This window comes from Homo sapiens, chromosome 5 (genome assembly GCF_000001405.40).
Source record: "Homo sapiens chromosome 5, GRCh38.p14 Primary Assembly".
NCBI classification, from domain to species: domain Eukaryota; kingdom Metazoa; phylum Chordata; class Mammalia; order Primates; family Hominidae; genus Homo; species Homo sapiens.
The window spans coordinates 50,226,882-50,245,486 of record NC_000005.10 but is presented as its reverse complement, the minus strand read 5'-3'; the positions used below and the strand labels follow the sequence as shown (position 1 = coordinate 50,245,486).

At 37.1% G+C, this 18,605-nt stretch overlaps 1 annotated feature.

Moving 5' to 3' along the window:
* Nucleotides 1,817-2,318: an enhancer, noted in NCBI's record as "NANOG hESC enhancer chr5:49539003-49539504 (GRCh37/hg19 assembly coordinates)". NCBI's record gives its function as "activates a minimal SCP1, AML or CMV promoter by ChIP-STARR-seq in primed H9 embryonic stem cells {active_cell/tissue: H9 hESC(primed)}" and the evidence as "EXISTENCE:reporter gene assay evidence [ECO:0000049][PMID:30033119]".

The following is an 18,605-nucleotide window of genomic DNA, read 5'->3' as shown; positions in this document are numbered from 1 at the left end:
TGCAAGTGGATATTTGGAGCACTTTGTGGCTTATGGTGGAGAGGGAAATATCTTCACATATCAACTAGATAGAAACATTCTAAGAAACTTCTTTGTGATGTGTGCAATCATCTCACATAGATGAACATTTGTTTTGATTGAGCAGTTTGGAAACTGTCTTTTTGTAGTATCTGCAAATGGATATTTGAAATGCTTTGAGGCCTATGGTGAAAAAAAATATCTCCACGTGGAAACTATACAGAAGCATTGTGTAAAACATCTTTGTGATGTGTGCTTTCATCTCAAAGAGTTGAATATTTCATTTGATTGAGCAGTTTGGAAAATGCCTTTTTGTAGTATCTGGAAAAGTTTTCTTTGAGTGCTTTGAGGCCTATCATGAAAAAGGAAATATCTTCACATAAAAACTAGACAGAAGGATTCTGATAAATTTCTTGGTGATGTGTGCATTCATATCACAGAGCCAAAACTTTATTTTGATTGAGCAATTTTGAAACACTCTATGGTAGACTCCGCAATAGATATTTGGAGCACTTTGAGGCCTCAGGTGGAAAAGGAAATATCTTCACATAAAAACTAGACAGAAGCATTCTCAGAACCTCCTTTGTGATGTGGGCATTCGTCTCAGAGAGTTGAACCTTTCTTTTGATTGAGCAGTTTTGAAACACGCTTTTTGAAGAATCTTCAAGTGGATATTTGGAGCGCTTTGAGGTCTATGTGGGAAAAGGAAACATCATCATATAAAAACTAGACTGAAGCACTCTGTGAAACATCTTTGTGATTTGTGCATTCATCTCACAGAGTTGAATATTTCTTTTGATTGTGCAGTTTGGAGACATTCATTTTGCAGAATCTGCAAAGGGATATTTTTGAGCCAATTGAGGCCTATGGGGAAATAGGAAATATCTCCACATAAAAACTAGAAAGAAGCATCCTGAGAAACTTGTGTGTGATGTGTGCATTCATCTCACAGAGTTGAACCATTCTTTTGATTGAGCAGTATTGAAACTTCTTTTTTTAGAATCTGCAAGTGGATATTTGGAGCGCTTTGAGGCCTACAGTGGAAAAGGAAATATCTTCAGATAAAAACTAGACAGAAGCATTCTGAGAAACTTCATTGTGATGTGTATATTCATTTCACAGAGCTGAACCTTTCTTTTGATTGAGTAGTTTGGAAAATGTCTTTTTGTAGTATCTGTTAGTGGATATTTGGAGCGCTTTGAGGCCTATGGATTAAAAGGAAATATCTGTCAAAAAAAAAATAAAATAATAAACAGAAGCATTCTGAGAAACTCCTTTGTGATGTGGGCATTTGTATCACACAGATGAACCTTTCTTTTGATTGAGCAGTTTGGAAACACTTTTGTAGAATCTGCAATTGGATATTTGGAGCACTTTGAGGCCTACTCTGCAAAAGGAAATATCTTCACATAAAAAACAGGCAGCAGCATTCTGAGAAACTTCTTTGTGATGTATGTATTCAAGTCACATGGTAGAAACATTCTCTTGATTTAGAGGTTTGGAAACAGTCTTTTTATAGTATCTGCAAATGGATATGTGGAGGGCTTTTAGGCCTATTGAGAAAAAGGAAATATATTCACATAAAAACTAGACAGAAGCATTCTGAGAAACTTCTTTGTGATTTGTGCATTCATCTCAGAGAGTTGAACATTTCTTTTGATTGAGTAGCTTTGAAGCAATCTTTTTGTAGAATCTGCAAGTGGATATTTGGAGTGCTTTGAGGCCTATTGTGGAAAATGAAATATCTTCACATAAAAACTAGACAGAAGCATTCTGAGAAACTTCTTTGAGAGGTGTGAATTCATCTTACAGAGTTGAACATTTATTTTGATTGAGCAGTTTGGAAACTGTCTATCTGTATCATCTGCAAATGGATTCTTGGAGCACTTTGAGGACTATGGTGAAAAAGGAAATATATTCACATAAAAACTAGACAGAAGCATTTTGATAAACTTCTTTGTTATGTGTGCATTCATTTCACAGAGTTGAACATTTCTTTTGATTGAGCAGTTTTGAAACACTCTCTTTGAAGTATCTGCAAGTGGATATTTGGAGAGCTTTGAGGCCTGTGGTGGAAAAGGAAATATCTTCACATAAAAACTAGACAGAAGCATTCTGAGAAACTCCATTGTGAAGTGTGCATTCATCTCACAGAGTTGAAAATTTATTTTGATTGAGCAGTTTGAAAACTGTCTTTTTGTAGTATCTGAGAAGGGATATTTGGAGCGATTTGAGGCCTAGGGTGAAAAAGGAAATATCTTCACATAAAAACTAGACAAAGTAGAATTCTGAGAAAATTCTTTGACACGTGTGTATGCATCTCACAGAGTTGAACCTTTCTTTTGAATGAGAGGTTTGGAAACAATCTTTTTGTAGTACTTGCAAATGGATACTTTGAGCTCTTTTTGGCCTATGAGGAAAAAGGTAATATCTTCATATAAATACTAGACAGAAACATTCTGAGAAACTACTTTGTGATGTGTGAATTCAACTCACAGAGTTGCACCTTTCCTTTGATTGAGCAATTTGGAAACACTCTTTTTGTAGAATCTGCAAGTGAATTTTTGGAGAGCTTTGAGGCCTATGGTGGAAAAGGAAATATCTTCACATAAAAACTAGAAAGAAGCATTCTGAGAAACTACTTGGTGATGTATGATTTCATCTCACAGATTTGAACATTTCTTTTGATTGACCAGTTTGGAAACAGTAGTTTTGTAGAATCTGCAAAGGGATATATGGGGGCCCTTGAGGCCTATGGGGACATACGAAATACCTTCACATAAAAACTAAACAGAAACATTCTCAGAAACCTCTTTTGGATGTGTACTGTCATCTCACCCAGTTGAAACTTTCTTTTATTTGAGCTATTTCAAAACTCTCTTTTTGTAGAATATGCAAGTGGATGTTTTGAGCATTTTGAGGACTACGATCGAAAAGGAACTATCTTCCCAAAAAAACTAGACAGAGCATTCTGAGAAACTTCTTTTTGATGTGTACATTCATCTAACAGAGTTGAACATTTGTTTGGATTGAGCAGTTTGGAAACAGTCGTTTAGTAGAATTCACAAAGGGATATTTGTGAGCCCCTTGAAACCAATGGGGAAATAGGAAATATCTTCACATAAAAACTTGACAGAAGAATTCTGAGAAACTTCTTTGTGATGTGTGCATTCATCTCACAGAATTGAACCTTTTTTCGATTGAGCAGTTTGGAAACAGTTATTTAGTAGAATTCACAAAGGGATATTTGTGAGCCCCGTGAAACCAATGGGGAAATAGGAAATATCTTCACATAAAAACTTGACAGAAGAATTCTGAGAAACTTCTTTGTGATGTGTGCACTCATCTCACAGAATTGAACCTTTCTTTCGATTGAGCAGTATGGAAACAGACTTTTTGTAGTATCTGCAAATTGATATATGGAGCGTTTTTAGGCCTATAGCAGAAAAGGAAATATCTTCATATAAAAACTAGACAGAAACATTCCGAGAAACTTCTTTGTGAAGTGAGCATTCAACTCAGAGAGTTGAATCTTTCTTTTGATTGAGCAGTTCAGGAACACAGTTTTTGTAGTATCTGCAAATGGATATTTGGAGCGATTTGATTCCTATAGCTGAAAAGCAAATATCTTCACATATAAAAACTAGACAGAAGCATTCTGTGAAACTATCTGTGATGTGTGCATTCATCTCACAGAGTTGAACCGTTCCTTTGTTTGAGCAGTTTTGAGACACTCTTTTTATAGAATCTGCAAGTTTATATTTGGAGTGCTTTGAAGCCTATGGTGGAAAAGGAAACATATTCACATAAAAACTAGACAGATACATTCTCAGAAACTTCTTTGTGGTGTGTGCATTCAACTCACAAAGTTGAACATTTCTATTCATTGAGCAGTTAGGAAACAATCTTTATGTAGTATCTGCAAATGAATTTTTGGAGCACTTTGAGGTCTATAGCTGAAAAGGGAATATCTTCACATAAAAACAAGAGAGAAGCCTTCTGAGAAGCTTCTTTGTGAAGTGTGCATGCATCTCACAGAGTTGAATCTTTCTTTTGAATGAGCGGTTTTGAAACACTCTTTTTGTAGAATCTGCAAGTGGATATTTGGAGTGCTATGAGTATCTTTACATAAAAACTAGACAGAAGCATTCTCAGAAACTTCTTTGTGATGTGTGCATTCAACTAACCGAGTTGAACCTTTCTTTTGATTGAGCAGTTTGGAAACACTCTTTTTGTACTATCTGCAAATGGATATTTGGAACGCTTTGATTCTTATAGCTGAAAAGGAAATATCTTCACATAAAAACTAGACAGAAGCCTTCTGAGAAACTTATTTGTGATGTGTGTATTCATCTCACAGAATTGAAGTTTTTTTTTTGATTGAACATTTTGGAAACACTCTTTTTGTAGAACCTGCAAGTGGATATTTGGAGCACTTTGGGGCCTATGGTGGAAAAGAAAATATCTTCACATGAAAACTAGCGAGAAGAATTCTCAGAAATTTCTTTTGATGTGTGCATACAACTCACAGAGTTGAACCTTTCTTTTGATTGAGCAGTTGGGAAACTCTCTTTATGTAGTAGTATCTGCAAATGAATATTTGGAGCCCTCGAGGTCTATAGATGAAAAGGAAATATCTTCACATAAAAACTAGACAGAAGCATTCAGAGAAACTTCTTTGTGATGTGTGCATTCAATTCACAGAGTTGAATCTTTCTTTTGATTGAGCAGTTTTGAGACACTCTTTTTGTAGTATCTGAAAGTGGATATTTGGAGCTCTTTGAGGCCTATGGTGGAAAACGAAATACCTTCACATAAAAAACTAGACAGAAGCATTCTCAGAAACTTCTTTGTGATGTGTGCATTCAACTCACAGAGTTGAACAGTTTTTTTTGATTGAGCAGTTTGGAGACACTCTTTATGTAGAAGCTGAAAGTGGATATTTGGAGTGCTTTGAAGCCTAAGGTAGAAAAGAAAATATCTTCATGTAAAAACTAGACAGAAGCATTCTCAGAAACTTCTTTGTGACGTGTGCATTCATCTCACAGAGTTATGTCTTTCTTTTGATTGAGCGGTTTGGAAACACTATTTTTGTAGTATCTGTAAATGGATATTTGGAGCGCTTTGTGGCCTATAGCTGAAAAGGAAATATCTTCACATAAAATCTAGACAGAACTATTCTCAGAAACTTCTTTGTGATGTGTGCATTCAACTCACAGAATTGAACCTTTCTTTTGATTGAGCAGTTTGGAAACACTCTTTTTGTAGTATCTGCAAATGGATATTTGGAGTGCTTTGATACCAATAGCTGAAAAGGAAATATATTCATATAAAAACTAGACAGCAGCATTCTGAGAAACTTCTTTTTGATGTGTGCATTCAAGTAACAGAGCTGAACCTTTCTTTTTATTGAGCAGTTTGTAAACACTTTTTTTGTGGTATCTGCAAGTGGATATTTGGAGCACTTTGATTCCTATAGCTGAAAAGGAAATATCTTCACATAAAAACTAGACAAAAGCATTCTGAGAAACTTCTTTGTGATGTGTGTATTCATCTCACAGAATTGAACTTTTCTTTTGATTGAGCCATTTGGAAACCTTCTTTTTGTAGAATCTGCAAATGGATATTTGGAGCCCTTTGAGGCCTATGGTGGAAAAGGAAGTATCTTCACATGAAAACTAGATAGAAGCATTCTCAGAAACTTCTTTTGATATGCGCATTCAACTCACAGAGTTGAACATTTCTTTTGATTGAGCAGTTTGGAAACACTCTTTATGTAGTATCTGCAAATGAATATTTGGAGCCCTTGAAGCCTATAGATGAAAAGAAAATATCTTCACATAAAAACTAGACAGAAGCATTCAGAGAAACCTCTTTGTGATGTGTGCATTCATCTCACAGAGTCGAACCTTCCTTTTGATTGAGCAGTTTTGAAGCACTCTTTTTGTAGAATCTGCAAGTGGATATTTGGAGTGCTTTGAGGCATATGGTGGAAAAGGAAATACCTTCACAAAGAAACTAGACAGAAGCATTCTCAGAAACGTCTTTGTGATGTGAGCATTCAACTCACAGAGTTGAATCTTTTTTTTGATTGAGCTGTTTGGAAACCCTCTTTATATAGAATATGCAAGTGAATATTTGGAGTGCTCTGAGGCCTATAGTTGTAAAGAAAATATCTTCACATTAAAACTAGACAGAAACATTCTGAGAAACTTCTTTGTGATGTGTGCATTCATCTCTCAGAGTTGAACCTTTCTTTTGATTGAGGAGTTTGGAAACACTCTTTTTGTAGAATCTGCAAGTGGATATTTGGAGAGCTTTGAGGCCTATTGTGAAAAAGGAAATATCTTCACATAAAAACCAGACAGAATCATTCTCAGAAACTTCTTTGTGATGTGTGCATTCAACTTCCACAGTTAAACCTTTCTTTTGATTGAGAAGTTTGTATACTCTTTGCAGAATCTGCAAGTGGATATTTGGATCACTTTGAGGCCTATGGTGGAAAAGGAAATATCTTCACATAAAAAGTAGACAGAAGCATTCTCAGATACTTCTCTGTGATGTGTGCATTCATCTCACAGTGTCGAAACTTTCTTTTGATTGAGCAGTTTTGAAACACTCTTTTTGTAGAAAGTGCAAGTGAATATTTAGAGTGCTTTGAGGCCCATAGTGGAAAAGGAAACGTCTTCACAGAAAAACTAGACAGAAGCATTCTCAGAAACTTCTTTGTGATGTGCGCATTCAACTTACCGTGTTGAACCTTTGCTTTGATTGAGCGGTTAGAGAACACTCTTTATGTAGTTTCTGCAAATGGATATTTGCAGCGCTTTAAGGCCTATAGCTGAAAAGGAAATATCTTCGTATAAAAACAAGAGAGAAGCATTCTCAGAATATTTTGTGATGTAGGCATTCATCTCACAGAGTTTATCCTTTCTTTTGATTGAGCAGTTTTGAAACCCTCTTTGGTAATATCTGCAAGTGGATATTTGGAATGCTTTGGGGCTTACGGTGGAAAAGGAAATACACTCACATAAAAGTAGACAGAAGAATTCTCAGAAACTTCTTTGTGATGTGTGCATTCGTCTCACAGATTTGAAATTTCTTTTGATTGAGCAGTTTTGAAACACACTTTTTGTAGAACCTGCAGGTGGATATCTGGAGCGCTGTGAGGCCTATTGTATAAAATGAAATATCTTCACATAAAAACTACACTGAAGCATTCTCAGAAACTACTTTGTCATGTGTGCATTCATCTCACAGAGTTGAACCTTTCTTTTGATTGAGCAGTTTGGAAACACTCTTTTTGTAGTTTCTGCAAATGGACATTTGGAGGACTTCGAGGCATATGGTGGAAAAAAATATCTTCACATAAAAACTAGACAGAAGCCCTCTCAGAAACTAGTTTGTGATGTGTGCATTCAACTCACAGAGTTGAACATTTCTTTTGATTTTGCACTTTGGAAACACTCTTTCTGTAGAATCTGCAAGTGGATATTTGGAGCGTTTTGAAGCCTATGGTTGAAAAAGAAATATCTTCCCATCAAAACTAGACAGAAGCATTCTGAGAAACACCTTGTGACGTGTGCATTCATCTCACGGAGCTGAAACTTTCTTTTGATTGAGCAGTTTTGAAACACTCTTTTTGTAGAATTTGCAAGTGGATATTTGGAGCGCACTGAGGCCTATTGTGGAAAAGGATATATCTTCACATAAAAAATGGAGAGAGGTATTCTGACAAACTTCTTTCTGATGCATGCATTCATCTCACAGTGTTGAACCTTTTTTTTTTTTTCATTGAGCAGTTTTGAAACACTCTTTTTGTAGAATCTGCAAGTGGATATTTGGTGCGCTCTGAGACTTATGGTGGAAACGGAAATATCGTGAGATAAAAACTATACAGAAGCATTCTCAGAAACTTCTTTGTGATATGTGCATTCAGCTCACATAGATGAACTTTTCTTTTGATTGAACAGTTTGGAAACACTCTTTTTGTAGTATCTGCAAATGGATATTTGGAGTGCTTAGTGGCTATAGTTGAAGAGGAAATATCTTCAAATAAAAACTAGACAGCAGCATTCTGAGAAACTGCTTTGTGATGTGTGCATTCATCTCACACAGTTGAACCTTTCTTTTGAATGAGCAGTTTTGAAACACTTTTTTTGTATAATATACAAGTGGATATTTGGAGCGCTTTGAGGTCTATGGTGGAAAAGGAAATATCATCACATAAAAACTAGACAGAAAGATTCTCAGAAACTTCTTTGTGATGTGTGCATACAACTCACAGAGTTGAAACTTTCTTTTTATTGAACAGTTTAGAAAAACTCTTTTTGTAGTATCTTCAAATGGATATTTGGAGCGCTTTGAGGCCTATAGCTGAAAAGGAAATACCTTCACATAAGAACTAGACAGAAGCATTCTGAGAAACTTCTTTGGGATGTGTGCATTCATCTCACAGTGGTGAAACTTTCTTTTGATTGAGCTGAATTGAAACACTCTTTGTAGAATCTGTGAGTGGATATTTGGAGTTCTTTGAGGCCTGTTGTGGAAAAGGAAATATCTTCACATAAAAGCAAGACAGAAGCATTCTGAGAAACTTCTTTGTGATGTGTGCACTCAACTCACAGAGTTGAAGCTTTCTATTGATTGAGCAGTTTGGAAAAACTCTTTTTGTGGTGTCTGCAAATCGATATTTGGAGCGCTTTGAGGCCTATAGTTGAAAAGGAAATACTTCACATTAAAACTAGACAGAAGCATTCTGAGAAAATTCTTTGTGATACATGCATTCATCTAACAGTGTTGAACGTTTCTTTTGTTTGAGCAGTTTTGTACCACTCTTTTTGTGGAATCTGCAAGTGGATATTTGGTGCACTTTGAGGCCTATGGTGGAAATGAAAATATCTTCACTTAAAAACTAGACAGAAGTAGTGTCAGAAACTACTTTGTGATATTTGCATTCAACACACAGAGTTGAAATTTTCTTTTGTTTGTGCAGTTTGGAAACCATCTGTTTGTTGTATCTGCAGTTGGATATTTGGAGAGCATTGAGATAAATAGTTGAAAAGGAAATATCTTCACATAAATACTAGACAGAAACATTCTGAGAAACTCTTTTGTGATGTGTGCATTCATCTGACGGAGTTGAACCTCTCTTTTGATTGAGCAGTTTTGAAACCCATTTTGTAGAATCTGCAAGTGGATATCTGGAGTGCTTTGAGGCCTATGGTGGAAAAGGAAATATGTTCACATAAAAATGAGACAGACGCATTCTCAGAAACTTCCGTGTGATGTGTGCATTCAACTCACAGAGTTGAATCTTTCTTTAGATTGAGCAGTTTTGAAACAACCTTTTTGTCGTACCTGCAAATGGATATTTGGAGCGCTTCGAGGCCTATAGGTGAAAATGAAAAATCTTCACAGAAAAACTTGACAGAACCATTCTCAGAAACTTCTTTTTGATGTGTGCATTTATCTCACAGAGTTGAACCTTTCTTTTGATTGAGCAGTTTGAAAACACTGTTTCTGCAGTATCTGCAAATGGACATTTGGAGCACTTTGACGGCTATGGTGGAAAAGGAAATATCTTCACACAAAAACTAGACAGAAGCATTCTCAGAATCTCCTTTGTGATGTGTGCATTCAACTCACAGATTTGAACCTTTCTTTTGGTTGAGCAGTTTGGAAACACTATTTTTGCAGTATCTGCAAATGGATATTTGGAGCACTTTGAAGCCTACAGTTGAAAAGGAAGTATCTTCACATAAAAATTAGACAGAAGCATTCTGAGAAACTTCTTTGTGACGTGTGCATTCATTGCAAAGAGTTGAACCTTTCTTTTGATTGAGCAGTTTTCAAACATTCTTTTTGTTGTATCTGCAACTGGATATTTGGAGCACTTTGAGGCCTATAGCTGTAAAGGAAATATCTTCACATAATAACTAGACAGAAGCATTCTCAGACACTACTTAGTGACGTGGGCATTCATCTCACAGAGTTGAACCTTTCTTTTGCTTGAGCAGTATTGAAACACTCTTTTTGTAGAGTCTGCAAGTGGATATTTGCAGCGCTTTGTGGCCTATGGTGGAAAAGGAAATATCTTCACATAAAAAATAGAAAAAAGCATTCTCAGAAGCTTCTTTGTGATGTCTGCATTCAACTCACAGGGTTCAAACATTCTTTTGAGGCCTATGGTGGACAGGAAATATCTTCATATGAAAACGAGACAGAAGCATTCTCAGAAACTTCTTTGAGATGTGTGCATTCAACTCACAAAGTTGAACCTTTCTATTCATTGAGGAGTTTGGAAACATTCTTTTTGTAGTATCTGCAGATGGATATTTGGAGCGCTTTGAGTCCTATAGCTGAAAAGGAAATATGTTCACGTAAACACTAGACAGAAACATTTTGAGAAACTTCATTGTGATGTGTGCATTCATCACACTGAGTTGAAACTTCCTTTTGATTGAGCAATTTTGAAACACTCTTTTTGTAGAATCTGCAATGGATATTGGGGGCGCTTTGAGGCCTATGGTGGAAAAGGAAATATCTTCACCTAAACAGTAGACAGAGGCATTCTCAGAAACTTCTTTGTGATGTGTGCATTCATCTCTCAGAGTTGAACCTTTCTTTTGATTGAGCTGTTTTGAAACAATCTTTTTGTAATATCTGCTAATGTATAGTTGGAGTGTTTTGAGGCCTGTAGATGAAAAGAAAATATCTTCACATAAAAACTAGAAAGATGAATTCTGAGAACCTTCACTTTGATGTGTGAATTCAACTCACAGAGTTCAACCTTTCTTTTGATTGGTCAGTTAGGGAACACTCTTTTTGTAGTATCTACAAATGGATATTTGAAGTGCTTTGTGGCCTATTGGTGAAAAGGAAATATCTTCACATAAAAAATAGAGAGAAGCATTCTGAGAAACTTCTTTGTGAGGTGTGCGTTCGTCTCACAGAGTTGAACCTTTCTTTTGATTGAGCAGTGCTGAAACATTCTTATGGTAGAATCTGCAAGTGGATATTTGGAGTGCATTGAAGCCTATGGTACAAAAGGAAACATCCTCACATAAAAACTAGACAGAAGCATTCTCAGAAAATGCTTTGTGTTGTGTGCATTCAACTAATAAAGTTGTACCTTTCTTTTATTGAGCAGTTTGGAAACACTCTTTTTTTTATATCTGCAAACGGATTTTTTGAGCGCTTTGAGCCAATAACTTAAAAGGAAATATCTTCACATCAAAACTAGACAGAAGCATTGTGAGAAACTTCTTTGTGATGTGTACATTCATCTCACAGAATTGAAGCTTTCTTTTGATTGAGCAGTTTTGAAACTCTCTTTTGTAGAATCTGCAAGTGGATATTTGGAGCGCTTTGGTGCCTATGGTGGAAAAGGAAATATCTTCACATAAAAACTAGACAGAAGCATTCTCCAGAACTTATTTGTGATGCGTACATTCAACTCTGAGAGTTGAAACTTTCTTTTGATTGAGCAGTTTGGAAACACTCTTTTTCTAGTATCTGCAAATGGATATTTGGAGCACTTCATTGCCTACAGTTGAAGAGGAAATATCTTCACACAAAAACTAGACAGAAGCATTCTCAGAAACTTCTTTGTGATGTGTGCATTCAACTCACAGATCTGAACGTTTCTTTTGAGTGAGCAGTTTGGAAACCCTCTTTTTGTAGTATCTGCAAATGGATATTTGGAGTGCTTTGGGGCCTATAGTTGAAAAATAAATATCTTCACATAAAACCTGGACAGAAGCATTCTGAGAAACTTCTTTGTCATGTGTACATTCATCTCACAGAGTTGAACCTTTCTGTTGATTGAGAAGTTTTGAAACACTCTTTTTGTAGGGTCTGCAAGTGGATTTTTGGAGCACTTTCTCTCCTATGGTGGAAAAGGAAATATTTTCACACAAAAACTGGACAGAAGCATTCTCAGAAAATTTTTTGTGATGTGTGCATAAAACTCACAGGGTTGAACTTTCTTTTTATTAAGCTCCTTGGAAACACTCTTTTTGTAGTATCTGCAAATGGATATTTGTAGCGTTTTCTGTCCTATAGCTGAAAAGGAAATATCTTCACCTAAAAACTAGACAGAAGAATTCTGAGAAATTTCTTTGTGATGTGTCCATTCATCTGACAGAGTTCAACCTTATTTTACTAAGCAGTTTGGAATCACTTTTTTTGTACTATCTGCAAATGGATATTTGGAGGGATTTGAGGCCTATAGTGGAAAGGGATATATCTTCACTTAAAAACTACACAGAAGCATTCTCAGAAACTTCTTGAATGCTTCTCAGAAGTGTGTCAATCTTGGATATTTCCTACTTTCTCTTGTGGGCATTTAGTGCTAAAATTTTCCCTCTTCACACTGCTTTGAATGTGTCCCAGAGATTCTGGCATGTTGTGTCTTTGTTCTCATTGGTTTCAAAGAACATCTTTATTTCTGCCTTCATTTCATTATGTACCCAGTAGTCATTCAGGAGCAGGTTGTTCAGTTTCCATGTAGTTGAGGGGTTTTGAGTGAGTTTCTTAATCCTGAGTTCTAGTTTGATTGCACTGTAGTCTGAGAGACAGTTTGTTATAATTTCTGTTCTTTACATTTGCTGAGGAGAGCTTTATTTCCAAGTATGTGGTCAATTTTGGAATAGGTGTGGTGTGGTGCTGAAAAAAATGTATATTCTGTTGATTTGGGGTGGAGAGTTCTGTAGATGTCTATTAGGTCCGCTTGGTGCAGAGCTGAGTTCAATTCCTGTGTATCCTTGTTAACTTTCTGTCTCGTTGATCTGTCTAATGTTGACAGTGGGGTGTTAAAGTCTCCCATTATTATTGTGTGGAAGTCTAAGTCTCCTTGTATGTTACTCAGGACTTGCTTTATGAATCTGGGTGCTCCTGTATTGGGTTCATATACATTTAAGATATTTAGCTCTTCTTGTTGAATTGATCCCTTTACCATAATGTAGTGGCCTTCTTTGTCTCTTTTGATCTTTGTTGGTTTAAAGTCTGTTTTATCAGAGACTAGGATTGCAACCCCTGCCTTTTTTTGTTTTCCATTTTCTTGGTAAGTCTTCCTCCATCCTTTTATTTTGAGCCTATGTGTGTCTCTGCACATGAGATGGGTTTCCTGAATACAGCACACTGATGGGTCTTGACTCTTTATCCAATTTGTCAGTCTGTGTCTTTTAATTGGAGCATTTAATCCATTTACATTTAAAGTTAATATTGTTATGTGTGAATTTGATTCTGTCATTATGATGTTAGCTGGTTATTTTGCTTGTTAGTTGATGTAGTTTCTTCCTAGTCTCCATGGTCTTTACATTTTGGCATGATTTAGCAGCGGCTGGTACCGTTTGTTCCTTTCCATGTTTAGTGCTTCCTTCAGGAGCTCTTTTAGGGCAGTCCTGGTGGTGACAAAATCTCTCAGCATTTGCTTGTCTGTAAAGTATTTTATTTCTCCTTCACTTATGAAGCTTACTTTGGCTGGATATGAAATTCTGGCTTGAAAATTCTTTTCTTTAAGAATGTTGAATATTAGCCTCCACTCTCTTCTGGCTTGTAGAGTTTCTGCCAAGAGATCTGCTGTTAGTCTGATGGGCTTCCCTTTGTGGGTAACCTGATCTTTCTCTCTGGCTGCCTTAACATTTTTTCCTTCTTTTCAACTTTGGTAAATCTGACAATTACGTTTCTTGGAGTTGCTCTTCTCGAGGAGCATCTTTGTGGCATTCTCTGTATTTCCTGAATCTGAATGTTGTCCTGCCTTGCTAGATTGGGGAAGTTCTCCTGGATAATATCCTGCAGAGTGTTTTCCAGCTCGGTTCCATTCTGCCCATCACTTTCAGGTACACCAATCAGACGTAGATTTGGTCTTCTCTCATAGTCCCATATTTCTTGGAGGCTTTATTCGTTTCTTTTTATTCTTTTTTCTCTAAACTTTCCTTCTCACTTCATTTCATTTATTTCATCTTCAATCACTGATACCCTTTCTTCCAGTTGATCGCATCAGCTCCTGAGGCTTCTTCATTCTTCACATAGATCTCAAGCCTTGGCTTTCTGCTCCATCAGCTCCTTTAAGCACTTCTGTGTATTGGTTATTCTAGTTATACATTCGTCTCATGTTTTTCAAAGTTTTCAACTTCTTTGCCTTTGGTTTGAATTTCCTCCTGCAGCTCGGAGTAGTTTGATTGTCTGAAGCCTTCTTCTCTCAACTCATCAAAGTCATTCTCCATCCAGCTTTGTTCTTTTGCTGGTGAGGATCTGTGCTCCTTTTTAGGAGGAGAGGCACTCCACTTTTTAGAGTTTCCAGTTGTTCTGCTCTGTTTTTTCCCCATCTTCGTGGTTTTATCTTCTTTTGGTCTTTGATGATGGTTATGTACAGAGGGATTTTTTGTGTGGATGTCCTTTGTGTTTGTTAGTTTTCATTCTAACAGACTGGACCCTCAGCTGCAGGTCTGTTGGAGTTTGCTAGACGTCCACTCCAGACCCTGTTTGCCTGGGTATCAGCAGCGGTGTCTGCAGAACAGTGGTTTTTCTTGAACCACGAATGCTGCCATCTGATTGTTCCTCTGGAAGTTTTGTCTCAGAGGAGTACCCGGCCGTGTGAGGTGTCAGTCTGCCCCTACAGGGGGTTGCCTCCCAATTAGGCTGCTTGGTTTTCAGGGGTCACGGACCCACTTGAGGAGGCAGTCTGCTCGTTCTCAGATCTCCAGGTCTGTGCTGGGAGAAACACTGCTCTCTTCAAAGCTGTCAGACTGGGGCATTTAAGTCTGCAGAGGTTACTACTGTCTTTTTGTTTTTCTGTGCCATGCACCCAGAAGTGGAGCCTACAGAGGCAGGCAGGACTCCTTGAGCTGTGGTGGGCTTCACCTAGTTCGAGCTTCCCAGCTGCTTTGTTTACCTAAGCAAGCCTGGGCAATGGTGGGTGCCCCTCCCCCAGCCTCGTTGCCACCTTGCAGTTAGATCTCAGACTGCTGTGCTAGCAATCTGTGAGACTCCATGGGCACAGGACCCTCTGAGCCATGTGTAGGATATAATCTCCTGGTGTGCCATTTTTTAAGCCCGTGGCAAAAGTGCAGTATTCAGGTGGGCATGACCCAATTTTCCAGGTGCCATCTGTCACCCCTTTCTTTGACTAAGAAAGAGAACTCCCTGACCCCTTGCACTTCCTGTGTGAGGCAATGCCTTGCACTGCTTTGACTCACACTTGGTGCATGCACCCACTGATCTGCACCCACTGTCTGGCACTCCCTAGTGAGATGAACCCAGTATTTCAGATGGAAATGCAGAAATCACCTGTCTTCTGTGTCAGTCATGCTGGGAGCTGTAGACTGGAGCTGTTGCTATTCAGCCATCTTGGCTCCAAAATCCCTATATTTTGATTGAGCAGTTAGGAATCTAACATTTTGTGTAATCTGCATGTGGTTATTTGGAGCCATTTTTGGCCTATGGTGGAAAATTAAATATCTTCAAATAAAAACAACATGGAAGGATTCTGATAACCTTCTGTGTGATGTGTGCATTCGTTTCACAGAATTGAAACTTTCTTTTGAATTAGCAGTTTTGGAACACTCTTTTTGTAGAATCTGCAAGTGGATATTTGGAGCGCTTTGTGTCCTATGATGGAAAAGGAAATATCTTCACATAAAAACTACACAGAAGCATTCTGAGAAACTTCTTTGTGAAGTTTGCATTAAACTCACAGAGTTGAAACTTTCTTTTGATTGAGCAGTTTTGAATCACTCTTTTTGTAGATTCTGCAAGTGGATATTTGGAGCGCTTTGAGGCCTATGGTGGAAGTGGAAATATCTTCACATAAAAACTAGACAGAAGCATTCTGACAAACTTCTTTCTGATGTGTGCATTCAACTCACAGACTTGAACCTTTGTTTTCATTGAGCAGTTTTGAAACACTGTTTTTGTAGAATCTGTAAGTGGATATTTGGAGCACGTTGAGGCCTTTGGTAGAAAAGGAAATATCTTCATGTAAAAACTAGGCAGAAGCATTCTGACATACTTCTTGTGATGTGTGCTTTCCACTCACAGAGTTGAAGCTGTTTTGATTGAGTAGTGTTGAAACTCTCTTATTGTAGATTCTGCAAGTGTATATTTAGAACCCTTTACGGCCTATGGTGGGAAAGGAAATATATTCACATAAAAACTACACAGAAGCATACTGAGAAACTTCTTTGTGATGTGTGCATTCATCTCACAGAGTTGAAACTTTCTTTTGATTGAGCAGTTTGGAAACACTCTTTTGTAGAATCTGTGAGTGGATAATTGGAGCACTTTGAGGCCTATGGTGGAAAAGAAAATATCTTCACATAAAAACTAGACAGAATCATTATGAGAAACTTCTTTGTGATGTGCACATTCATCTCACAGAGTTGAACCTTGGTTTTCATTGAGCAGTTTGGAAACACTCTTTTTGTAGGATCTGAAAGTGGATATTTGGAGGGCTTTGAGGCCTATGATGGAAAAGGAAATATCTTCGCATAAAAGCTAGACAGAAGCATTCTGACAAAATGCTTTCTGATGTGTGAGTTCAACTCACAGAGTTGAACCTTTCTTTTGATTGAGCAGTTTTGAATCACTCTATTTGTAGATTCTGCGAGTGGCTATTTGGTGTGCTTTGAAGCCTATGGTGGAATAGGAAGTATCTTCACATAAAAACTAGATAGAAGCATTCTGACAAACTTCCTTCTGATGTGTGCATTCATCTCAGAGAGTTAAACCTTTGTTTTAATTGAGCAGTTTTGAAACACTCTTTTTGTAGAATCTGCAAGTGGATATTTGGAGCACTTTGTGGCCTATGGTGGAAAAGAAAATATCTTCACGTAAAAACCAGACAGAGGCATTCTGAGAATCTTCTTTGGGATGTGTGCATTCATCTCAAAGAGTTGAACCTTTGTTTTCATTGAGGATTTTGGAAACCTTATTTTTGTAGAATCTGCAAGTGGATATTTGGAGCCCTTTAGGGCCTATGGTTGGAAAGGAAATATCTTCACATAAAAACTACACAGAAGCATTCTGAGAAACTTCCTGGTGTTGTGTGCATTCGTCTCACGGAGTTCAACCTTTCCTTTGATGGTGCAGTTTGGAAACACTCTTTTTGTAGAATCTGCAAGTGGACATTTGGAGTGCTTTGGGGCCTCTAGTGGAAAAGGAAATTTCTTCACATCAAAAGTACACAGAAGCTTTCTGAAAAACTCCTTTCTGATGTGTGCATTCAACTAGAAGAGTTGAACCTTTCATTTGATTAAGCAGTTTTGAATCTCTCTTTTTGTAGAATCTGCAAGAGAATATTTGGAGCGCTTTGAAGCCTGTGGTGGAAATGGAAATATCTTCACATGAAAACTAGATAGAAGCATTCTGACAAACTTCTTTCTGATGGGTGCATTCATCTCACAGAGTTAAAGCTTTGTTTTCGTTGAGGAGTTTGAAACACTGTTTTTGTAGAATCTGCAAGTGGACATTTGGAGCACTTTGAGGCCTATGTTGGAAAAGGAAATAATTTCGCTTAAAAACTAGACAGAAGCATTCTGAGAAACTTCTTTCTGATGTGTGCATTCATCTCACAGAGTTGATCCTATATTTTGATTGTCCAGTTTTGAAACTCTCTTTTTGTAGAATCTACAAGTGGATATTTAAAGCCCCTTAAGGACTATGGTGGGAAAGGAAATATATTCACATAAAAACTACAAAGAAGCATTCTGGGAATCTTCTTTGTGATGTGTGCATTCATCTCACAGAGTTGAACATTTCTTTTGATTGAGCAGTTTGGAAACACTATTTTTGTATAATCTGCAAGTGGATATTTGGAGCACTTTGAGATCTATTGTGGAAAAGGAAATATCTTCACATTAAAACTACACAGAAGCATTCTGAGAAACTTCTTTGTGATGTGTGCTTTCAACTTACAGAGTTTAACTTTTCTTTTTAATGAGCAGTTTCAAAGCACACTTTTTGTAGATAGTGCAAGTGGATATTTGGAGTGCTTTGAGGCCGACAGTATAAAAGAAAATATCTTCACATAACAACTAGGCAGAAGCATTCTGACAAACTTCTCTCTGATGTGTGCATTCATCTCACATTGTTCAACATTTGTTTTCATTGAGAAGTTTTGAAACTATCTTTTTGTAGAATCTGCATTTGGATATCTGGAGCGCTTTGAGGCTTATGTTGGAAAAGGAAATATCTTCACATAAAAACTAGAGAGAAGCATTCTGACAAACTTTTTTTTTATGTGTGCAGACATCTCACACAGTTGAACCTTTCTTTACATTGACTACTTTTGAAACACTCTTTTTGTAGAATCTGCAAGTGGATATTTTGAGCGTTTTTAGACCTATTGTGGAAAAATGAAATATCTGCACATAAAAACTAGACAAAACATTCTGAGAAAGTTAATTGTCATGTGTGCATTCATCTCACACAGTTGAACCTTTCTTTACATTGACCAGTTTTGAAACACTCTTTTTGTAGAATCTGCAAGTGGATATTTGGAGTGCTTTTAGGCCTATGGTGGAAAACGAATTATCTTCACATGAAAACTAAACAGAAGTATTCTGAGAAACTTCTTTGTGATG